We start from the raw sequence: 25291 nt of genomic DNA, 5'->3' as shown, positions 1-25291 counted from the left end.
CAGGAAACTGGAAAATGGGAAGAGAATCCTCAGTAATGTTCCCAACCCTGGAATGTAAAGACACTGCAGAGTGAAGAAAATATTGTTATTATTATATTATTGTCTTCCTGAAGAAGGGTTCAACTCTCTTTCCAGTACAGGGCTGTGACTTTAGAGACATTTGTGAACTTGCTTTTCAAGTTATAAAGAGTGATAAGTATTATTATTAATCAATCTCGCTATCTGATTCCTACTCAATAAAATTAACACTCTTAACCAAGTAGTTTTCAGATGCTTCTTAATATTTTCTGTATGTCTGATTTTGTGAAATGGTGTCAATTTCTTATATAGACAAAACCCCGTGCGGGGCTTTCTCAACTTGAGCACAATGGACTTTTGAATTCAGATAACTCTTTGATATGATAAATTATTCTGTTAATCACGTGGCTTTTAGCAGCACCCCTGCTACGAGATGTCAGTAAAATCCTTCTAGTTGAGATACCAAAAACGTCTCCAGACATTGCCAAATTCCTCAAGGGACAAAATCAACCCCCTTCCTCCATTAAGACAATTGTCTTAGGCAATAAAAAAGTGTCAAGTGATGCCTCGATTTCAAATAGAAAAATAACTTTATATCCCTTCATCATTCTGATATTCATTTATTAATTCATCTATTCAACACATATTTATTGAATTCCAGTAGCTGTGTATTCAAGTAATGAACAAAACTGTTATGACCACTATACTCACGAAGCTTATAATCTTAAGAGGAAAACAAAACTTAAGGAAATAGAAAGACAGATTTACAATTTCAAATTGTGATAAGTACTACACAGACGAAAGACAATAGCGTCTACAGTAAGCACAATGACAGGCAGATGAGACAAAGGGGTCCCTAAAAACATGAGAAAACAAAAATTCTACTTTAATATTTATAGAATTTTAGATATTCTATTTTTTTATTGTACCACTTAAACGTACTAGAGGATTCTGTTTTAACTTATACTTTAATGTTCTGGATTAGTGAATAAAGAGCCCTAGTCCAGTGCTGACATGGGATGTCAATTGGAGGGTGTTTTCAAGGCCTCTAAAATTATTGCACATATACAACTCTTTCAATCTTGCTCCTAAAACCATCATCATAAATGGATTTGGATCAGATAAGATCGAGAGTAAGCAGAAATCCTCTTTCCCAGAGTTTTATGATTCTAACACCCGGGGAAGAATTTGGAGGCAAACTTTTGAGTGTCTTGCATCAGCTAAAGTTTTCAGTCTCACTTCTACACTTGCTCTTTAGTTTGCAGGTTGTGAACTCCTTAAAGACATTTCTAAAATAAAAGTCCACTAAGTAAACCATCTCCCCAGTGATCCAGAGTGTGAAACATTCTTCATTATGACTAAGGTGGGAGAAAGATGTGATAATGAGGCCCTGTTGTTGCAGTACCCAAACTCAGAAGTTTGTTAATAAGAGAAAGGGGAGACAAATGTTTTGTACTCTTGTCTCTTTGGATTAGAGGCTAAAAGCAACCAAACACAAAGCAGGGTCGAAGTGTTCAACTGTAAAGGAAAAGAAGTGGGCATTGATTATATGCAATCAATTTATCTAAGTTATGGTCTAAGTAATTCTTCAAGTTAGTGCATAGCTGAGTCAGTGCTCAGGTTGATTCATTCCATAATCCATTTGTGTTTGACAAGTATTTCTTAGAAATATAGATTAACAGCTTGTGGAATACTTTGAGTAGGGTGAGAAACAGTATGAAAGTACTTTTTCTTCAATCACAGCCTCCAAATGAGCTCTAGCAAATCTTCCTTTTTTAATACCTTAGTTTTATATCTGAGGTAGAACTCATACTTGTCCAGTCATTTTTCTTCATTTTTTCGTTTATTTGCTATATCAATTTATACAAGTGTAATTAAAGTAAAGAATTCTAGGTAAGTGTTTTGTCAAAACAAATTTGTAAAACACACTGACACTTAGATCCACTGGAAAATGAATCATGCACTGGAATCCTTGGATTCTATTGTTTTTGTTTTTGAATTAATTTATTTATTTTCAAAACCCAGTTTATTGTGATACATTGATGTAATATTATACTAAAACAACCATAAATCTCTAGGACATTTTATCTATATAATTTTAAATTTGTGAATATCTTATCCATTATAATTCCAACAAAACTTATTTTTCTTACGAATACGAATTATCACTAACTACAATCCTAAAAACCATATTACTTTGTATTTTGAAATATTAAAATAAATTTTATGCATATTTCTTTAGTTAAATATTTCCTGATTTACAAATTACACAATACAGTCTCTGAAACTTTGTATACAAAAGTAATTGTCGAGTGCTGTGGATCAAAGTATAAGAATCAGTTTTATTCATTTATTAAACTCAAATTGACAACTATGTCAATTATGTTATAATTATGGTAAGCAGACTAATTAGGATTTTGTAGAAACTACAATGTCAAATTTTATCTGTGTAAGATGATGCGATTAGACACATTAATTGCCCTTTGCAGCCAATCTTACCCCCACTTCCTTTCTCCTGCCATGGGCAAGCACTGATCTCCTTTCTATCGCTATAGATTATTTTTGCCCATTCTCAAAATCACATGTGAAGAGAACCACACAGCATGTACTCCTCTGTGACCAGCTCTTTCACTCAGTTCAGTATCTGGGAGATTCATTCATGTTATTGGGTATATTCGTTGTTCATTTCTTATTATTACTAAGTAGGATTGCATGGCATGAATATACCACACCTGATTTATTAATATACCCCGTTGATAGACGTTTGGACAGTGTTCCTGTCGGGGCTGCTATAGCAGTGCTGTAAATATTCATATACAATTATTTGCATAAACACATGCTTTTATATTTTTGGGTAAATATCTAGATGCAGAATTGATGGATTTTATGGGAAACTTATGCTTAACTGTGTAAGAAGCTAAGAACTATCTTCTAAAATAATTGCACCATTTTATGCTCCCACCAGCAACCTGAATGTTCCAATCGCTCTAAGCCCTCTTCAACACTTGGTACTGCCATTTCTTTTTGTTGTATCCATTCTACAGGGTGTAGCAGTATCTCACATTTTTAAGTTGGTGAATAATGATGTTGAGCATCTTTTCATGTTATTATTAGCTGCTAATGTATTCATTTTAGTGAACCATCTGTAAAAACGTTTGCTCATTTTTCACTGAATTTTATTTTTTATTATTGAGTTGACTGGATATATCTTATTTCCAAATACATGCTGTAAATGTCTACTTTTCAGTCCCTTGACAGTGTTTTTGAAAAGTAGAAGGTTTTAATTTTCAAAAAATTTAACTAATTTGTATGGTTATTGACTTTGTTTATTTTCTAAGAAATCTTTGCCTGTCCCGATTATCCCAACTTTTTCTTCTATGCTCCCTCTAGAATTTTTACAATTTTAGTTCTAATGTTTAGATCTAATTTCATATTAATTTTGAATGTGTTGTGAGGAAGGGTTTGGGGTTTAGTAGTAGCCATAGTAGTAGTATACGAATATTCAGCAATTCCAGCAGCATTTCTTTAAAAGGCTATTCTTTCTGAGTAACTGAGACTATAGGCATGTGCCACCACACCCAGCTAATTTTTTATTGTTAGTAGAGACGGGGTTTCACCATGTTTGCCAGGCTGGTCTCGATCTCCTGACCTCATGATCCACCCGCCTCAGCCTCCCAAAGTGCTGGGATTACAGGCGTCAGCCACTGCTCCTGGCCTCTAGTAAGTCAGGTTGTATTAATATAAGGCTTCCACTTTGCTATCCTTTATCAAAATTCTTTAGTCCATTCCATTTCTTTTGAGATTTCATATAAATTTTAAAATCACCATGCCGATTTCTGCTCAAAAAAACCTGTGGAATTTTTGTTGGTATAAAATTGAGTCTATAAATGAATTATGGAGTGAGAGGTGCTAAAATATCTGATTAAGGTAAATTTGTTCATTTATCCTTTTAGTTCTGTCATTTATGATTTATAAAGTTAGATGCTCTGCAATTAGGTGCATGCATATTCAGGATTGCTACATTTTCCTGATAACACTGAAGAACTGGGCATCTTAAGTATTGAGTCAACTAACCTATAACCACGTTGCATCTCTCCATAGTTAAGAAGCCAATAGAAGAAAAGCAACGGAAACTAAAAGTAGCCCAAATTAGACAAGAAAGGAGAAACAGAATTAAAATACGAAAGGCACAAATGAAAAACAGATAGCAAGAAAATAGAATTCAACCCAAATATATGAGATTACTTACATCAGAAATACATGTTATATATATTTAATAGCAGTACTTTATATATAAAATATAATATAGATTAATAAGTATATTTATATAATATGTATATATAAATATATATTATTTTAATAAGTATAAATATATACTTATTAATATATATTTATATATAAATATACTAAGTGTATAAATATATAAATAAGTATATATATTAATAAGCTGAGATTTTCAGAGTGCATTAAAAAAGCAATACCTAACTATATACTGCCTACAGGAGATACATTTTAAATACAGACAGTTTAAAAAAAAGAATTGAGAGAGATATACTATAATAATAAGCATTTAAAAAGCAGGTATGGTTATATAAATAGCAGACAATGTAAAATTTACACAAATAGTACTTTAATAAATAAAGAGGGACATTATATAATGATAAAAGAACAATGTTCCACAGGAACTGAATGTTAAGAGGAAATCTCTGAATAGGTTCTGGTTTTCTGGAATCGATTATCTGGTATAAGCATATTTAAAGGTATTACTGACTCTGTTTCCAGTGATAGATAGGGAACTGGTATTCTGTGGCATACAGCGGCAAAACATTTACTCAAAGTATCATCTGTAGACACTTATAGTCAAATGCTTACAGAAAAGGCTCTGGGGGACCATGGGTTTGCTGCCATACAACATTTTAACAAAAGTGAGGAGTATAATGGGTTGGTTAGTTACTTTTAACTGCTCTGGAGAACTTGGGGAAAGAAAAGGGTAAGTTTTATAGGCTAGGAGGACATGAAAGCTTCTATGAATGCACTGAAAGAATCTCCTATCTCTTATTGCCACAGGGATATGTTTCTGAATATTAAACCCAAAGTCTAATTTTGTAGGTGGTTGAATTACAAAGTGAACTCAGTTTCCAGATTCCCAGGGTCTCTTTTATTAAAATCCTGGAACTGATTTAGAAGGAAAGGGGTTCTGAAAATTACTATGGTGACATATAGACAGATGTTTATAAAACTGGGAACCTCGAACTCCTAAATTGGGTCGAGCCTCTTCTGCCAGTCGAGGCAGCCTTTTCAGCCCTGTCTGAGGAGGTCAGTCTCCTCTCAGGTAAAGAATCTATAATGTCCTCTTCTGAGGTAGTTGCCTTACAACGTACTGCTGATCTTCCTCAGAACCTACTCTTAATACCTTTTCTTGCTTTTAGACTGACTTACAGTCAGTCTCCGGTCCAAATAGGAGAGGTACATAGTGTGACCCATCAGGAGGTACAACGCAAATCAAAAAAGTTGGATGATTTTGACAATATATACTAGCAGAAACCTGAAAACTATCTATGGGACTGAATCTAAACCATATAATACCAATATGGAAAGAATGTAAAGTTGGATTGAGCTGAATATATTGATATGAACCCACTACGCAGACAGTCTATATTAAATATTTTAGTTCAAGGAGCTAGGAAGAGCTCCAACAGATTGCTTGGTCAGATGATTGAAATATGGATCCAAATGTAATACCAACAGAAGATGAAAGGTCAGAACTTCTTTTCTTTGTTGTCAAGAAAGGCATCCAAATACTTAGGGAAACTTGAATGCTTGAGAGAATTTATCATCTAAGATATGCTCATCCAGTGCAGGAGGGACCAGGAAATATGACCTTCACCACAACTGTATGAAATAAACTTATGAGGGGAGTCCAGCATCCTAGACGTGTTCTACAGTGGAATAACAAAATAATGGAGCAATACACACTTTCTCCAAGAATGTATGGAGAAAATATAACAATGAGGTGAACTTAAAGTTGGGTCTAGTTGGCTGAGGAGACAAATTGAAGGTAAAAACACGGAAAACTTAACCAAGAAAGAGAGAAGAGTGTGTGTGTCAAGTCTTGGAGAAGAGGAGGTGTCATGCATTGTCAGGATTGGCAAGAAGGCTTGTGTTGTTGTAACACAGGCATTGTTTAGGCAGCAGCATGGAATAAATGAGAAACGTGCACAAGATTAAAACTGACCACACCTGCGTTCATTCTCCAAGCAGTTTGGATTTATGCAAAGGTCAGTGTGTGGGAGGAGAGAGGACAAAAATATACTTGATGATAGGTACAAATCTTTGGTATCACACACTCAGGTATGCTATGAATGTAATTTACTTTTCTGCAATTCACTTAAATTTGCTTATATGCTTGCATTCCTTTGGGTACAATAAATAAATCTCAGTACATTTAGGGTTTACTCCTTTTCCCCAGGATGGCATCCAAGTTCCAGTGGACTTGACCTCCACATTATTATCTGTGGGTACTCTTTGTGGTCTGTCTTGAGGAATGCATTTCCCTAACTTTAAGGAGCACACTTAGCAGCATTTTACCTCCAAGAAGGCAAGTTTTCCTTCCAGCCTTGTTGTGAAGTCTTCCTCTTCCAATGCATATGTCTCAGCCACAGGTCTCTGAATCCTGTGGCTAGTGCTGATGGGCTGGCTTAGCCTTCTTTCTATTGCTAGGAAGTCATTAAGTTTTTAAAGAAATGTCAGGTCTAAGATGGGGGCTGTTAAAAAATATTGCCTTCCATGCTTTTGCTCTAAGTCCTTTCCTGACAGTCAGTGACTTTAAAAGCCCAACTTTGCTTTTGTTTGTTTGGTTTTCATTTCCTATGCCAATCACCCTGTATCTATCCATGTAATTACAAACCTTGTGTAAAACTCTTCCAAATACACTCTTTCGTAGTACTCTGATATTTCTGAAATCAGGTATGACTACTGAGGTGCCATTTTAACACTTCAATCAGTATTGTTACAGGGTCACAGTCCTAACTCTATGCCCTGGGTTTTCAATCAGACATTCACAGTATGAGACATCTGAGAAAACTCCAAATGGGCTCCCACATCTAGTCAGGATGACTCTCAGGATACAACTCAAGTCGCTGTGCTAATGGGAATTGGGACACTATAAGATATCCTACCTTCTACAGAAAACCTTACCTATTCACTATTCTGTTCCTAGAGCTATTTGGCCTTTATTTTACCATATTAACAAAATTCTTGAATTAATTCTTACTGTGTAACTAGCCACATGTTCATGGAGGAAATGGATTTGGGAATGACTCCTGGTAGCTTCTGTCACTCCTGAATATAGCACATAATTAACTTTTAGAAGAAAGAGTTGGAAGATCTGATAGACCTGCTGCAAAATAACACTTATAATACATTAATAAATTAAGATGTAATTCCTAAGATACATTAATGCCTTTAAAATGTAGTTTCTGAAATATACCAATGCAGCTATTATTTCATTTCATATGTTAAAAAGCTATATGCCACAGATACATACTCAAAAGATATTCTCCTTGAATGAAAACAGACAAACAGATAACCCTTATTTCAATGCTCAGATCAGAACTGAGATATGTGAAATGGCTTTATCAATTTTAACATATTATTTTATCACAAACGAGATAATTTACAAAGTAATTATTCCCTCCTCCACCCACATACACACTGCCTGTAATACATAAGATGAGACTTTGTAAGAATGCATATAAGAACATACATTACATATATAGGGGCTGTATTATATATACTGTTTTGTAAGCTATATTAGAGTTTTTTGTTTTGTCTTTAGTAAAAAAAAATATTGTGATTGTCTTCACATGTAAGTTTGTACAGGAACTCTTAGCACTTTTTAAGGACTTCATAACATTCCGTTACATACATAAAGTACAATTTATTTAATTTATTCCATATTGATGTAGGTTTTTCCCAATTAATAGTTAAGAGTTATGCAACAAATATGCTTGTAATGTGTGCTTAATTGCCAGGCTCTTTTCCTAGGATTAATTGCTAGAAATAGAACTGCAGAATCAAGCAAATTGTGTGTTTCAAGTTTTGTTTTTTGTTTTTATTTGCTTTTGTTTTTGTTTTTGTTTTTTTTTTTGGAGATGAAGTCTCGCTCTGTCGCCCAGGCTAGAGTGCAGTGGCACAATCTCGGCCCACTGCAACCTCTGCCTCCCAGGTTCAAGCAATTCTCCTGCCTCAGCCTCCCAAGTAACTGCAACTACAGGTGCATGCTGCCACACCGGGCTAATTTTTTATATTTTAGTAGAGACGGGGTTTCACTGTGTTGCCAAGGCTGGTCTCGAACTCCTGAGCTCAGGCAATCTGCCTGCCTCGGCCTCCCAAAGCGCTAGGATTACAGGCATGAGCCACCGTGCCCGGCCTATTTTTTAAATTTTTTTTACAGAGACAGGGTTTCACCAAGTTGCCCAGGCTGGTCTTGAACTCCTGGGCTCAAGTGTGGTTCATCTGCCTCAGCCTCCCAAAGAGCTGGGATTACAGGCGTCAGCTATCACACCGGGCTTTTCTTTCTTTTTATTTTTTTTAACTTTTATTTTAGGTTCAGGGGCACATGTGCAGGTTTGTGATACAGGTAAACTTGTGTCACGGGGGTTTAATATGCAGACTATTTTGTCACCCAGGTACTAAGCATAGTACTGGATAGATATTTTTCCTGATCCTCCCCCTCCTTCCACCCTCCTCCCTCGAATAGGCCCCATTGTCTGTTGTTCTCCTCTTTGTGTCTGTGTGTTCTCATCATTTAGCTCCCACTTATAAGTGAGAACATGCTGTATTCGGTTTTCTGTTCCCACATTAGTTTGCTAAGGATAATGGCTTCCAGCTCCATCCATGTTCCTGCAGAGGACATGATCTTGTTCTTTTTTATGGCTGCATAGTATTCCATGGTGTATTCTTGTTCCATTAAGCATGCTATCCATAGCTTTTCAAAAGTTCTCTTTTCTTCCCTAATTTTTGTCTCGAAGTTTAAGATATTTAAATTGAGCACATGACAATTAGGGTTTTCTGTTATGATTCTGACAATAGAAAATTATGAAAGCAATATTTTCTTCTAATTTTGTAACCTCTAGAAGAAATCAGCTTTGATTTTGTAAATGATATGAGACAAGATGCTTAGCAATATTTTTCCAAAAAACCATATGTCCAATCATCATTTCCTGAATAAACTATTCTTTTCCTATAATTTAAAATACATTATTATTTTCATCATCAACAATGTGCAAACTTTGGATAGTGTTTACAGAAAAAAAAGACAGCAAAATGCCTTATATTATGACTGAAACATAAAATAACAACCCGTATGCGATGCGAAAAACTATCCCATAAAAATCACCATTGCAGAAATTGAACCAAGGCTATTTCCACATTTGTGAAACATCTCCAAAATATAAAATATGAGTTCTGTCCTGGGCCTGTAATGGCTGATGTATAAAGCTCAGAGGCCTGTTAGAAGCTGCAGAAAAACTGGACCCCAAGAAATAAGCTTCTGAAAATGAAAGCAAGGCAAATCCAATCTAGAGAAAGACATAGAGGGCAAGACTTACACAGGGACTAGGGAACCAGGAAACCTTTGAAAGTGACAGAAGTTAAGTATGAAATGAAGGTCTGGAGGAGGAAAATAACTAACAACTGACAAAGTAGGGAAGTGGCAGATTTGCAGAAACTGGAAATACGAACCTTGTATTAACGATCATTTAGTAAATATGTTTCTATCAAATGCTTAAAAATGTCCACTTCAACAAAACAATAAAAGTATAAAGCTTATGCAATTAAAATTGAAGTACCATTCATCTTTCCAAATAATGTATTATATTCACACACTGTTTTTCATATCATTATTGCTGGAAAATTCTCATTATATCACAAATTCCTTAATTTCAAATTTAGGCTGATTTAGAGAATAAGTTTATGGTTGATAAACTGTCTTTTCATATTGTCCAGTTATAATAAGTTTTATTGCACCCCTAAGCCAAGGGTAAAATAAAGCGTAAATCAAAGTATTTGGAACACAGTTAGAGTAACCAAACTAGGAAAATATCTCATAAACATAGGAAGGTATGATAAAACCCCAAAGAGAACCAACGAATGAATCAATCATCATATATAGTAACCATGAGGTTTAAAATGCTACCACTTTAAGCTGGGCACAGTGGTTCACGCCTGTAATCCCAGCACTTGGGAGGCCAAGGCAGGTGGATCATGAGGTCAGGAGTTCGAGACCAGCCTGACCAACATGGTGAAACCCATCTCTACTAAAAATACAAAAATTATCCAGGTGTGGTGGCGCACTCCTGAGGCAGGAGAATCACTTGAACCCAGGAGGCGGAGGTTGCAGTAAGCCAAGGTCATGCCACTGCACTCTAGCCTGAGCGACAGAGCGAGACTCCGTTTAAAAAAAAAAAAAAAAGTGCTACCACTTTGATACCTTCCCGCAAGAGGTCTCAATTGGAATCCTGGGGTGTTTGCCTTTGTCTTTTCTCTGCAGCAGCCCCTGAACTCCAATTTTTGCCTCTCCAGTTACAAGAGACTGCCAAAGTCGTGCTTAGCTTCTTAGCAATTGCATTTTTCTTTGTTTCTTGGGTTCTTAGCCACAGAGAATTTCAGAATTCGGAAAAATGTCCAAGGGCAAAAGCAACACGGGATGCTGCCCTCACTTCTCTGCTATTCTCCCTTCTCCTGAGTGTTGGTTTCTTAAACACTGGCTTCTTTGGTCCCTAAACTACAAATTTTTTCCATACAGCAATTGGAGACTATTGACTGGTTTAGGACACCATTTTCTGCTTAGCCTGTACGTGTCACAGCAAGAATAGATGCTGTTGTGAATATAAGAATTTTTGCAGAAGGCCCAGCTCACTTCAATGTGCTTCCTTTCTCTCTAGAATTTTGTCCAACAATTCTAGGCTGTCATAGTTGCTATCCAATACTTTAAACAGTTGTTCTATGTGTTCAGTTGAGCTTTTATAATTGTCCTAAGTGGGGGAGATGGTTTGATCAAGCGGTGTCATCACAGTCCAAATCAGAAATTTCTCCCTTGCATTCTACAATTTTTGTTATTTGCTATTTTATTTTATTTGTCTTATTTTATCATCCAATTAATAATATTTTCTAATTTTCAGTTTGATTTCTTCCTTGTCCCATGGGCATTTGTATCAGACCATCGTATTTGTGCATCTTCGTATTCTCTGATTAACACTTTACTGCTTACTCTAAGACACCCCTGAGGACACCAAACCCATTAGTGGCATGAGGGTCCATGGTTTGTGGCCAATGCCCAGAGACTAGTTTCTCCCATCACTTCAAGACTCAAGTGGTGTGGGAATTCACTTTTGCAAAGGTTATTGAAGTGGCCAAATGAAGATACCCTACAGTTTCAGGGGACAAACTTTCTGTGGCATGAATTTTGACCTGTGAGAGATAGGAGGTAGGAGACAGACAGCACATAGATACTATTTTTGTATAACCCATTTGTAGACCTCTACATAACCAATGTCTGGATTCTTTGTGGCTTGAGAAGCAGAGAGCAGTAATTTTCAGATCTAGAACTTTGATTTTTAAAAATGGTTTACAGTTTCCAAACATGATTATTTCCTTGAATGTGGTCAGCTTTGTTATATTAAAAACTGTTAAAGGTAATCAAGTTAGTTACTGTAAAGCATAATATGAATTTCCCATTGGTTTTTAAACTTTTTTCCACCATTTCTGTTGATTTTCATGATATTATCTTTTCTCCTTTTTCCTGTTTAAATTGAGTTGAGACATTCTATATGAAAAGTTGATGTAATAACTTGAGAACTGAGATATTATGCTTCTCCAGAGAAAATGTGCCTTTACTTGTGGTGTGTGGCTAGAAAAAAACAACAATCTGGGATAATCCTTTTCTCCATTATAGACATTGAGACTATCTGAAGTGAAGTCTTACCCTGATGTTTAGAGAATAGTAGTCTTCCAGACTGTAACAAAAACCATTAGTGGTCGGTGCTGCCTGGGCTCATTTTTCTTGTTAGACTCTAAAATCTAATCATTTCCCACTAACCCTATCAGGTTGTCAAAAGCTCTGCTTCAAGGACATGCATAGACATTTATCAAAAGAAGATGTACAAACAGCCAACAAACATATGAAAAATTGTTTAACATCACTAATCATCGGGGAAATTAAAACCACAATGAGATACCACCTTACTTCTGCAAGAATGGCCACAACTAAAAAGTCAAAAACAATAGATGTTGGCATGGATGTGGTGAAAGGGAACACTTTTACACTGCTGGTGGGAATGTAAATTAGTACAATCACTATGGAAAACAATACGAAGATTTCTTAAAGAGCTAAACATAGAACTACCATTCGATCCAGCAATCCCGTTACTGGGTATCTACCCAAAGGAAAAGAAGTCAGTTTATGAAAAAGACACATGCACACTCATGTTTATAGCATCACAATTTGCAATTGCAAAGATATGGAACCAATCTAAGTGCCCACTGACTAACAAGTGGTTAAAGAAAATGTAGTACATATACACCATGAAATACCACTCAGCCATAAAAAGGAACAAAATAATGTCTTTTCCAGCAACTTGGATGGAGCTGGAGGCCATTATTCTAACTGAAGTGACTCAGGAATGGAACACCAAATATTGTATGTTCTCACTTAAATGGGAGCTAAGCTATGAGAATGCAAAGGCTTAAGAGTGATATAATGGACTTTGGGGACTCAGGGGAGAAGGTTGGGGGGGGTGAATACATACTGGGTACAATGTACACTGCTCAGGTGATGAGTGCATTAAAATCTCAGAAATCACCACTAAAGAACTTATCCATGTAAACAAAACCACCAGTACCCACAGAACTATTGAAATAATAATAATTTTTAAAAGCTCTGCTTCACTCTTCATCTTCTCAGATGCCCCTTTTGGTATTGGCCCTAAAGTTTAGATTCACCTCTCTGAATTTCCTTTTTCCCTGGATCTTAAATAATTATTGACTGCCTTTATATCTTTCTGATATTTTAAAGATTTTTAAAACACTTTTTCCAGATTTCCTGAATCTTCTCACTAGGAGAATGGAATAAGTAACCTATTCTACCATTACCGGAAGAAGATGTCCCACATAGGAATTTTTTTAAATAAATGTAGTAAGAAAATTTTCTTTGGTGATATATATTTTATAATTCAAGGTCACTGAGTACATTTTGCATCTTAAGTAAACTAAATAATTACAGAAAAATGTATTTCTTGTAATCTATTTCTACATCAGGGTAAGAGTTGTTGATGTCTGGGACTAGTTCTCAACGGTAATAAGGCAGACAGACAAATTTATTTTCAGTCATATTACCTGCAAATAATAGTTTAAATTCCTATTTTTGAATTTCTATATTGATTTTTCTCTCATCTAGGTGTGTTAACTAGCAATGTGAAAATATTGGACCATCTTGTCTTTAGCTGGAGCCTAAAAGATACACTTCAAATGTTTCATCTCTAAGTATGTGCTAAATATGTTTTGGTGATAAGTATGGTTTTTGTCACAGTAATAAAAGAAACAATGACCACTTAAAACTCAGAGAAATAAAACTTAGGCAAGATACAGCAGCCTTCATTCTAAAGTTCAGTATTAACGGATTTGGTGTTTCAGTTCTTACTCTTTTGAGTGATGATGTGATGGACTTAACCAAGCCTATTGAAGAGTTTTCCTAAAATCACCTGTCCAACTCTAATTCAGCCATCTATGCCCAAAAAGGTTATCACATGGTACCAACAAAAGCATTATACAGAATACTCTAGATATGAATTCCAAAATGACTTCTATTGAACCAAGTATAAACTTTTCCAGAGAGTAAAATGTAAAGTTATAGCACACATTGTTTATACTATTTTAATACACTTTTTTTTTACAGTATTAGCATAGAATTTTGACTCTGCAACACTCAGGTAGTGAAATGCACATTATTTTTAGTGTGAGAAAAACTATTAAGAAAAGTTGTGGAAGCAAGTTATACATTATTTTCAGGAGATAAAAGTTGACATAGAAATAACAACTACTGGTGATCATTGGTTATTCTTGCACAATTTCCATTTGCTAATAATCTTTGTGCCAACCTTTTTGTGGTAGATTTTTTCACATGAAACATTTCTGGGCAATGTCTATAGTTACTTCCTGATCCCAAGGCTGAATTATGGGTTCCACCATATTATGGGTGAGCATGCTAAGATTCTGCCCAGCCATTAAGCAGGAGAGGCTTACCTGCTGCCTCCCAAACTCCTGGAAGGCACAATCATTAAAGAAACCGGGAGGAATAGTCACAGAAGAGCAGCAAATAAACAGACCCTTTGGTAGTATCATCCCACGTGGACTGTGTCTGTTATGAACTGAATTGTTACCCCAAATTCATATGTTGAAGCTCTAACCCCTAGTACTCAAGTCTAGATAATTAAGTCAAAATGAAGTGATTAGGGTGGACCATAATCCAATATGACTGCTTATCTTTATGCGAAGAGGAGTTTAGGACACACGCACACAGAGAAAGACCAGGTGAGGACACTAAAAGAAGACAGCCATCTGCAAGTCAAGGAAAGAGGCCCTCAAAAGAAATTCACCCTGCTGACACCTAGACCTTGGACTTCCAGACAGTAGAATCATGGGAAAATACACTTTTGTTGTTTAAGCCATCCAGTCTGTGATACTTCCTTATTGCACCCCTAGCCAAATAATACAAAAACCACTTAAAGAATGCAGCTCTAGCCAACTAATACAGTGTTGCAAAAGACACTTAAAGAATGGCCACTTGTAATTCCAACACTTTGGGAGGCTGAGGTGGGCAGATCACCTGAGGTCAGGAGTTCGAGACCAGCCTGGCCAACATGGTGAAACTCCATCTGTACTAAAAAATACAAAAAGTAGTCAGACATGGTGGCATGTGCCTGTAATCCCAGCTACTCAGGAGGCTGAGGCAGGAGAATCGCTTGAACCTGGGAGGCGGAGGTTGCAGTGAGCCGAGATCACGCCACTGCACTCCAGCCTGGGCAACAAGAGCAAAACTCCATCTCAAAAAAAAAAAAAAAAAGAAAAGAGAAGAAAAGAAAAAAAGTCCACTTGAAAATAAATGAAAGTTGAGCATTAAAAAAAAAAGATGATTCAAAATTTCACATCCAAAAATGCAATTCAGAATTCAGTAAATCGGAAAAAACAAGTGCATGTGGCAAGGATGTGTACAAAACATAGAGACAAGTGACATGTGTGAACCACTTTATCATTTATTATTTAATGTAGTCAATATCTTTACAATAGTTTAATAGTTTAATCTTCCTGTGACCTTTTTCCTGGTTAATTTGAAAAGTGATATATTTCTCCAATTTTGAAAAGTTTTATTTGTTTCTTATATTTAATTTCCTTATAAATTCATAATTTTAAAAATATTCTTAATTTTCTCAACTTAGTGCTTAAACTTATTCTAAAAATAAACTAATGGTTGATGAACTAGCCTTTAAAACATCTCCACTTAAAATAAGTTTTATGGCTTTCCTAAACCAAGGATAAAATAGAGCATAAATCAAAGGATTCATGGCTGAGTTATAATAAGCACTCCAACAGCAAATTTCATAGATATAGGCAGGGGTCAGGAAGCCCATAAAGGCATCAATTAATATATCAACTGTATACGGTAACCATGAAATAACAAATGCTAGTACCGTGACCCCCAGGGTTTTAGCTGCTTTCCTCTCTCTCTTGGCCACTCTGATTTTATAACTCTCTGAGGATGATTCTACTTTGCTACTAGTAGTTTCAATTTTTATAGCTTGTTGTTTAGCTATAAGAAAAATCTTACTGTAAAGAATTATCATAACAAGGGTAGGTATGAAGAATAACAGAAAATCTATCAACACCCAGCCTTGACTTACAATAATTTGACAGCCACCTACGCAGTTGAGAGCACTTACTAATTCCTCCAGCCCATCATCATTGACACCTGTGTAGAACACAGCACCGCTGTACGTGAGAGGCAGAATCCAGGACACGCTGATGCAAATTCCCGACACAGACACGGTGAACTTGGTAGCATAGACCAGGGGATCAGTAACCACAATGTACCTGTCGATGCAGATGAAGCACAAGTGGAGGACAGAAGAGTAACAAAATGCCACATCACAGCAACTGTGAAGAGTACAAAATTTGGCTCCAAAATACCAGCAGCTCTCCACCGTCCTGACCATGCTGAAAAGCATCACAGTCACACCTACCAAGAAGTCAGCACAGGCCAGAGAGGCAATGAGAAAATTGGTTGGAGAGTGCAGCTGCTTAAAATGAAGAACAGAAGTCATTACTAAGAGATTTCCAAATACAGCCAGCAAAGACCCAAAGCTAAACGCCGTGTACAGAATTACCCGGGACCCAGGAGAATAGGGAGTTTCAATACAAGATCCATTCACATCCTCATAGCAAAGCTGCACAACAGGTTGGGAAAAATTGCTGGTCATGGTTCTGCTGTTTGTTGTTTGCTATTTCTGTCCTTCCTTGTGATAGGGAATTATAATTTTGAATTCTGAAAATTAAAACAAAAACAAACTGCATATGTGAGTACTTACAAATTTTGTTTCATATTATATTCTTTTTCAATTTTAATTATAAAGAGAAATTAAATTCAAAAACATAAAAGATAATTCTGTCTTTAATCTCATAATTATTTCTGTCGCTATGTCTAAACCTCGTCATTAACCCCAAGCAAATCTACTATGAATTTTCATCAGCTGAGTAATCACATTAACCAAGTAATTGAAGAAATGTAATTTAAATACCTGGTTTTATATACATGTGAATCCTTCTTTTCAAAGGACGATCATGTATAATATAATTACATATTTGAGAAGTCACCTTTTAATAAGCTTCCATCTCCTAGGACATTTTAGGAAGCCAGCCAATCCATTGTACCCATTATAAATTCTTCACAAGGAATCCCCATAGTGTAAGGTGTGAATCATGAAATGAATCCCACTTTTGATAATTATAATTAATAAGTTCACCTACAATAGGAGAACTGTTTCTCTGTGCTCTGCAACTTGGTAGAAACACTTATGATTTTCATAACCATGAGATTTCTTTAAGTTCAACTGTCCTGAAATAGCCTAACCCAAGATTTGACAATAGTATTACCTATTCCTTATTTACAAGACTATCTATATAATTTGCAGCATCCAGCACAAAATAAAATGCAGAGACCCTTGTTCAAAAGTATGGACAAAAAGTGTCATTAAAGGTACTGAAATAGAAAGCTTTTACCTTTCTTTTATGGTCTTTCTTGGCCTGTCATAGTGTTCGATATTTGCTATGGAATGCCCTTGGACAAAGAGGTATTTGCAGGGCAAGTGAGGACTCTCACAGGTGTCTGCATTCCCTGCCTTGCAACTCAGCTTGCACATGGTCCACCCACTGCCAGATTCCCCCTCCTACCAGCTGCTGAAGTAATATGCCATAGTCAGGATGGGGGTGAGAAGCTGAGCCAGGGATTTGCCCTTCTCACAGGCCTGCTACCTCAACAAAAGGCAGACCAATGACCCCCAAGGGATTACAACCTGCACAGCAGAAAGCACTTGATACCTGGATTGGGGTTCATGAGGGGCTTGGCCCTGCTGAGGAGCTCATCAAACGTGCTGTGACGCTGCCAGCGGGAGATGGAGGCAACAGTCTATGCCTAGCCCTGAGACTGTGGAGGATGTGCCTGGCTGCAACTCTCCCTGTGATGCATCCAGTCCTCTGCAGGGATGAAAAGAGGATGGCAGTGGTCCCTGGTCAGAGCGGGTAGGAGGAGACTGGATGGAGCCCAAGGTGCCAGGGGGCAGGGGAACATGAGGCTGAATACCCCTCCCAGGGAAGAAGGAACAAGGTGTAATGCAAGACTACTAGTGGTCTGAAGTTCCAAGCACCCAGCACATGCTCCATTGTCTCTTCACTTAACAACACACACATTTGAATTTCAAAGACAGAAATTCAAGACAGCAACTATGAGCATGAAACCCTAATAGTAGGTCTCTGCACTGCTGCCCCAGTCATATGCCCATGGAATAACTGCCTGTTTCATTTCAGATATTAAATTATCTCTTTGTAATAGCAGCTCAATGATGAGGCAAAGAATACCCCATGTGGAGGTAACTGCGAAATTTCCAGACAAGAGGGTGTAGAAGCTGAGGTCCAGGCAGTTCTGAAAATAACAGCCTTTCTTGACATACAGGCTTGTCCCCATAATACTAACAGTAATTTAGGGGATTAAGAAGCGAGATTAAGGAATGAAGCTCCATAAAAAGAATTTCAGGCCTGGGGGAAAAAAATAGCTAATTTTGATCCTATATGGCACCTACTAAGTAGGAAATGATAAAGACCTTTTTCCTCCACAGCAGTATATATAGGACTTGAAAATACAGATATGATATGCCAGTTAGGATAAAGGTACTAAAAATATATAGAAATAAATTAATACATGTATTAAAGGTGTGACATAAAAACAATCATTCAGTTGATCATCTACCAAATTCTTTTTGGCAATGCTATTTTACCTTTCCTTTAATTCTCAAACCTAACTTGATCTCACCCTACTCTTACTGAGTAACCTTGCTTCTCTATATTCTGAAATGTGATACATGCAATTTAAAGACCAAAAGCATTCAGGGTTCAGAGCTGCATGATGCAGGTAAGAGTCAAGGATGATTCCCAGGTTTTCAACTTGCCAATAGGCAGGATACAGTAAGCAGGAGAAAGAGTGAGTCTAGAAAAGAAAGATGATGGGTTAGGTTTGGACTGGTCAGAGGGACATAACACTGGAGTCCTTCAGTAGGGAATTTAGCCTATGAGTTTTCAGCTCAGGAAAGAAACTGTGCCAGAAACAGTCATTTGGGGTTGCTCACATTCTGCTGTTTTGAAACCATAGAAAGAAATTTGATTGCCTGGTGCCCATAGCCAGGATGTCCAATGCTGTAAATGTGTCCAGTTAAATGAAAAAAATAAAAATAAATAAAAATAAAAAACCTACCAGGCACTAAATGTGTGTTTTGGGTGAGGGGAGAATAGAAGAAAAATAAAAACTAAAACTAAACACACCCACTCATTTGAATGAAAATAATAAATAAATAAAATCAACAACCAAAACATGAAACATTCCAGAAGAAATGTGTTTTATAGAGTTGTAGGATGCTACTCAGTATTTGTTGACTGGATTAGAGTGTGCACAGTGAAAATAGAAGGAACAGAGGAGCACCAAGTTCAAAGTTATGCCTGCAAAAAGAAAGAGTAGCCAGAAATACAGATAGAAAAACAGGAAAAAGTGGTCCCATAGATGTCGTGGAAAGAAAGAGGTTCAGGTAAGGGAGGCATAGCCAGGAGTGTCCAATGCTGTAGGTGTGTCAAGTTAAATGAAGACTGAGAATTGTTTGTTGTCATTAACAACCAGGTTAATGATGAGCATGACTGGACTTCTGATGGAATGTTAGACAGAATCTAGATGGCAGTGGATTGAGAATGAATGAGAATGGAGAAGGAAGGCAAGTGAAATAATAAACAATGACTGATACTGCTCAGCTGTGAAAAGGAAGAGACCTATATAATAGATAGCAAGAGACATGGGTTCAGAGAACATTCATGTTGTTATTAGTGTTTGGATTTGGTTTTATTATTTGTTATTTTATTCTGGGGTGTTAAAGAAAAACTAGTGGAAAATATGAGACCAGAGACTGAGTTCCAACTGGGAAAGTTTTACTGCCAAGCAGGGAACCAAGCACAGATCTAAGCTCTGGGAGATTGGATTCAGGGGAGTAGAAATAGCGCAGTTACTTAAAGCCAGAGGGCCATGAACTGCCTCTGTCCTGTATTAGAAAAGTGAAGTCTCTGAATGTTTCTGATTGGCTGCTGATACCTAGGCTCATTGGTTAGGTAAGCACCAGAACCACTGGAGGTATCTGTAGCCATACATGGGGCATCCGCCTTGGGATTATGGCATTGTATTCGTTTCCCATTGCTGCTGTAATAAATTAACCCAAATTTAGTGGTTAATCACAGCACAAATTTTTTGTCATGTTGTCTTACATGACTGGAGTTCTGGATTTTAGAAATTTGAAATGGGTCTCAGTGAACTAAAATCAAGTTGCCAGAGGTGGGCATTCCTTTCAGAGGATCTAGGGGAGAATCTCCTTCCTGCCTTTTTAAGCTTCTTAGCATTCCTTAGATTGTTGTCCCTTCCTCCATTCATAAAACCAGCAGCATAGCATCTTGAAGTTTTTCTCTGACCCTGACACTGACTCCCCTTCCTCCCTGTTACACTTCTAATGACTTGCGATTACATTAGGCCCACTTGGCTAATCCTGGATAATCTCCTCATCCAAGATCCTTAATTTAATCACATCTTCAAAGTCTCTTTTGCCATGTAAGATAACACATTCACAGGTTCTAGGGATTCGAAAATGAACATCACGGTGGGGATGGGATGGAGTGTGCATTTTTCTACCTACCACAGGCATCACTTGCTTCTGCTGCTGGCAAGAAATGTGGTCCATGGATGACGGTGTCCCGCTGCTCCTGTCACCTCTGTGAGATGCCTGTCTCCAGGTTTTTTGATCCCCTCAGGCATAGAAGTCAGAAGTCAGAAAAGTAAGAAGGATGAGCATTATTTGTCAGGAGAGAAGCTAGAAAACAAAACTATCAAGTTCTTACCTTTTGAGACCAAAGAACTGGTTGAAGTAAAAAAGTTAAGATTAGAAAATATACACGCTCAGATAAAACAGGTTTTTCCTTTTCCACATTTTCTTCCCAGACAAGATGAAGATTTCTTTAGGACTTTCAGTCAAGATGGTTCAGTTAGTTCATTCATCTACCCCTGTGCTCCAGATGAAAATATGGAAAGAGCAGGCATATAAAAAAGAAGAAAGTACAGCAAAGTTCATAAATCAGACCATCTTCTCTGTGTGCAAGAAAAGATACAAACACAACATGTGAGCAGAGCTGAAAATGAGGACGTATGAGTTTTGCAGTTTCGGAACCAGCAAAGGAACCCAGGATCTTGGCTCCTTTAAAGAGGTCTAATAAAAGTGCTCTGTGCAGACAGGAAATAGTACATGCTCATTGCTTAAAGTCAGGGGCTGGAGCGAGGCTTATAACCTTGCAGCACACGTGAAAGGATGCTGAAGCCAGGTGATTTTGCCCCAATTCCACCCAGGACTTCGGCTTTTAGAAAGATCTTAGTCTAGGGAGATATAAGGACACAGACACAGATTCATAACCAGGCACTGGGCTGAGCTACCCACTGGCTGACTCCCTGGATCAGGGACTTATCCTGTATGACAGCAGAACAGGAACTGAAAACACCATTGTAGAGCAGGGTCGTATTTGGGGAAACTTCAGGGCTAGATCAAGACAACTTCAAAACTACCAGCACCGGGCGCGGTGGCTCACACCTGTAATCCCAGCACTTTGGGAGGCCGAGGCAGGTGGATCACCTGAGGTCAGGAGTTCGAGACCAGCCTGGTAAACATGGTGAAACCCTGTCTCTACTAAAAACTAAAAAAATTAGCAGGCGTGGTGGCAGATGCCTATACTCCCAGCTACTTGGGAGGCTGAGGCAGGATAATTGTTTCAACCCAGGAGGCAGAGGTTGCAGTGAGTTGAGAATGCACCACTGCACTCCAGCCTGGGCAACAGAGCAAGACTCTGTCTCAAAACTAAACTAAACTAAACTAAACTACCAGGCACTAAATGTGTGCTTTGGGTGAGGGGAGAATAGATGAAAAATAAAAACTAAAACTAAACAAACCCGCTCATTTGAATGAAAATAAGAAAGAAATAAAATCAACAACCAAAACATGAAACATTCCAGAAGAAATGTATTTTATAGAGTAGTTTGACAAAGACAAGTACAACTTATTTGGTGATAATTCTATTCTAATATTTGGCTCAAATGTAGATTCCTTAGGAGATAGTGTTTAGGAGGCCTTCCATGGAAGCCTGAGAGCTACGTTTTTAAGAAGCACCTGCAGGTGATTCACCAACCACAGATGAGATTATGGGAAGTATTATTTTATTTCTTTTGTATTTGCTATTAGAACATTCAATTCAATGCAAAATCCATAGTAGTCCATAAATAAACATTTATTGAGTGAGAATCTAGTACATGATCTTTCACTTTATTTGCCTTTTCAATATGGCATACTATCTTCCTTCTATGGAAGTATACCTTCTAGCACCACTTCTCATTTTTTCCTCTATTTCCTGATATAAATGATGGTCAGAAAAGAGTCAACACGTAAAGGAAGAAGAGGTTTGCTCTAATGAGAAGCTCAGTGAGAAAATGGCAGCTATTGATTGCGGGAGCAACATAAACTTTACTCCCAGCCTTGCTGATGATGGACAGGTAAACCTTCAAGTCACCATGGAATGTGTGGACGTCTCCATACCCAGAGCCTGCCTCCTTCTGGAAAATAATTTATTCACAGGTAGGTTTGAGTCTATGCTCCCCAATCTTTTTCACTTTATTATATGTACCTTACAATAGGGTAAACCAGAGGGAATTTGGGGTATCAACATAAGACATCTTATGAAAGTCATACATTTGCTTTATATAACATAGTTAATGTAACTGACTAAGACAGTCAACCTTAATGTTCCCCTCAGCTTGACTAAACTTAAGACAGGCTTCTTCCTGACTTGAGGCTCCTGACCACCCTTTCTTAGAGCATTTACTTTAGAAAATTAGTATTTACGAATTCTTTCTCTGTGCTTTTGAGAGGTAAGTCTTTTTAAAAGCTTCTTGCTAGTTTTATAACCCAGGAATGTCTTTCTCAAGGTCCTGGGAGCCATCCCTTTGAAATGTAATTATCAAGAAAGATGATAACATCCTTATTTCCCAGTTCCTGTAGGAAGGTAGAAGTCTTAACTTCAAGGGATGCCTTGCTCCAAGCTGGAAAACTACCTCCTGTCATGAAGATATAAGAAAGTTCACTTTCCCTTTTGGTGGGGCCCATTAGCAAACACAAGTGGTCTACAACCTCCTCTCCCTTAACTTTCAAAAACTTTTCAGCCCTTTGTTTCAGTGAAGTTGAGCTCAGATGAGTTGAGTTCTGGCCTTTCTCCCCTGTAGCAATTGTCTGCAGTAAAGTCTTCCTTGTCTTTAACTTTGTCTGGTGCAATTTTTTGCTTTGAAATAGTAAAAATATAGTATAGCGTTTATCGGTTGACTATTGCATGTAACAAACAACCACAAATTCTCACTCATATATGACATTAAACATTTATTTCTCACATATCTGCGTTTGAGCTGAGTTGACTCTACTTCAGGCTATGGCAACTGGGGACAGGGAGGACTTGGCTCTGGTTAATGCTGTAGCAAGGCTTACGTATCTCTCATCCTCCTTGGATCTGCTGGCTACCTGAGCATGTTCTCATAGCAATGGCAGAGGTTCAAGAGAGCAAACGGAAATAGGATATCATAAGGCCTAGGCTCAGAATTTGCACACTGTCTCTTCTGCTCTCACTCTGCCTCACATGGGCAGAACTGCAAAATTATATAACAAAGGGTGTGAATACAGGGAGAAATGAATAATTCAAAAATTAACTCAACTACAAAAAGTGTTAAGAAATATCCCTTTCTTAGCATGATGTGGAAAAACAGCAAATGATGGAGGTTGCTCATTCCACCTGGCACCTACGGAAAAAGCATCACACTGTCAGACCTTGCTCAATGTGGGCAACCATCAGAAGAGACTCAGTAGCCAGAGTGTACTAGCCCAAGAGCACTGACCATCCTGGGCCCAGTCTGATTGTCCTGAGTACTGAGTGGATTAGTTTCTCCAGGACTTCGTGTAATCCATTTGCAACACATCATTATGGCATTGGTTCAGAAACCCTGATTTAGGTAATAGCGTGATGTCCATCAGATATTTACCAACATTTTCAGTAAGTTTTATGTGTTATTAACCAAAACCTGTTGTCTATCTTGATATGATATCTTGATATGATATCTCAAATGATGTTCTCATAATGTAGTGTGTCTTTATGGCAGACCCAGAGAGTGACACTGTTTAGATCCCTCTTCAACAAAGGAGTCTGGACCACTTGGGCATCCTATTTTAGATACCATTGATTTATTACATTGATAACATTATGCTGATCATGCAGGATAAGCAATTTGTAAATAGCACACTAGAGGCCTTGGAAAGATACATGCTTCTTAGAAGTTTGGAGATAGCCTCTATGCAGATTGAGGGGCTCTCTACTTCATTATAGTGGTCAGAGATGTCCCATCCAAAGTTAAAGACAAATGATTACATCCAGTACTCTCTACAGCTAAAAAAGGAAGCACAATGCTTGGTTTACCGCTTTAGGATCTTGAGAAAATATATTCCATGCTTAGGAATACCACTCTGGTGCATACACTGGATAATACTAAATTCTTCCAGCTCTCGGTGGGGCCTGGAGCAGAAGATGGCTCTACAGTGGGTCTAAGCTATAGAATAACTGTCACAATTTGACGACCTTGCAGTGATGAAGGTATTAGTAGTGGAAAAAGAGGCAGTGTATTTTTTATGGGAGGCTCCACTGAGAGAAACACAGTGCAGTCCTCTGGGAGTCTAGAGTAAGGAAGATAAATACCTTTTGAAAGATAGCTCTTGGTGAGCTACTGAGCCCAGGAAGTGATGGAACGCTTGACCATGTGACATCAAGCTATCATGTGTCTGTAACTGCCTATTATGAGTTAGGTCTTGTTGGATCCTCCAATGGAAATGATGCATGTAGGACCAAACACAAGCAAGGCCAGTGGGAACATGTGAGCAACATGAGCCCAGAGCCCATTACCTACCGCCTTTGCAGCAGTACCCCCTCCATTTCACACTTCAGGAAACTAAAGAGGAGAAAAACACAAGCTTGGTTTACAGATGGGCTGTCTCAGTATGTGGGTGGAAGCCAAAAACGGACAGCAGATGCATTATAAACTCCCTTAGCCTTAGATGACAGAAGAGAGGAAAACAAACTCCCTAATAGATGAAGCTTTGGTTTTGCCTAATTGGTCTTAATTGAGCAACACCAGAAAGTTGTCCCATTTAAATAACTCCTCCCTTCCTAAAACTTCACCCTTGTTACTTTCTTCTTTTTACAAACTGTTACTCTTTGAACATCTCTTAAAATTTCTCTTGTACCTTTATCCACTACCAACCTAAAAGGGAACCCCTCTGAGAATGGTATGTTT

General features: G+C 37.6%; 1 protein-coding gene and 1 pseudogene across 1 annotated transcript; both read right to left on the bottom strand.

Annotated features, from left to right (window-relative positions):
• TAAR7P (trace amine associated receptor 7, pseudogene) lies at window positions 10010-10219 on the bottom strand (annotated as a pseudogene).
• On the bottom strand, window positions 15487-16571 carry TAAR8 (trace amine associated receptor 8). The gene has a single exon (NM_053278.3). It carries the CDS (start codon window positions 16548-16550, stop codon window positions 15522-15524), a length of 1029 nt encoding a protein of 342 aa, NP_444508.1. The 5' UTR covers window positions 16551-16571; the 3' UTR covers window positions 15487-15521.
• Between the last annotated feature and the right edge of the window lie 8720 nt (window positions 16572-25291).

Source organism: Homo sapiens, chromosome 6 (assembly GCF_000001405.40).
Source record: "Homo sapiens chromosome 6, GRCh38.p14 Primary Assembly".
Taxonomy (NCBI): domain Eukaryota; kingdom Metazoa; phylum Chordata; class Mammalia; order Primates; family Hominidae; genus Homo; species Homo sapiens.
Note: the sequence above shows the minus strand (reverse complement) of the source record. Positions and strands in the feature narration are given on the sequence as shown.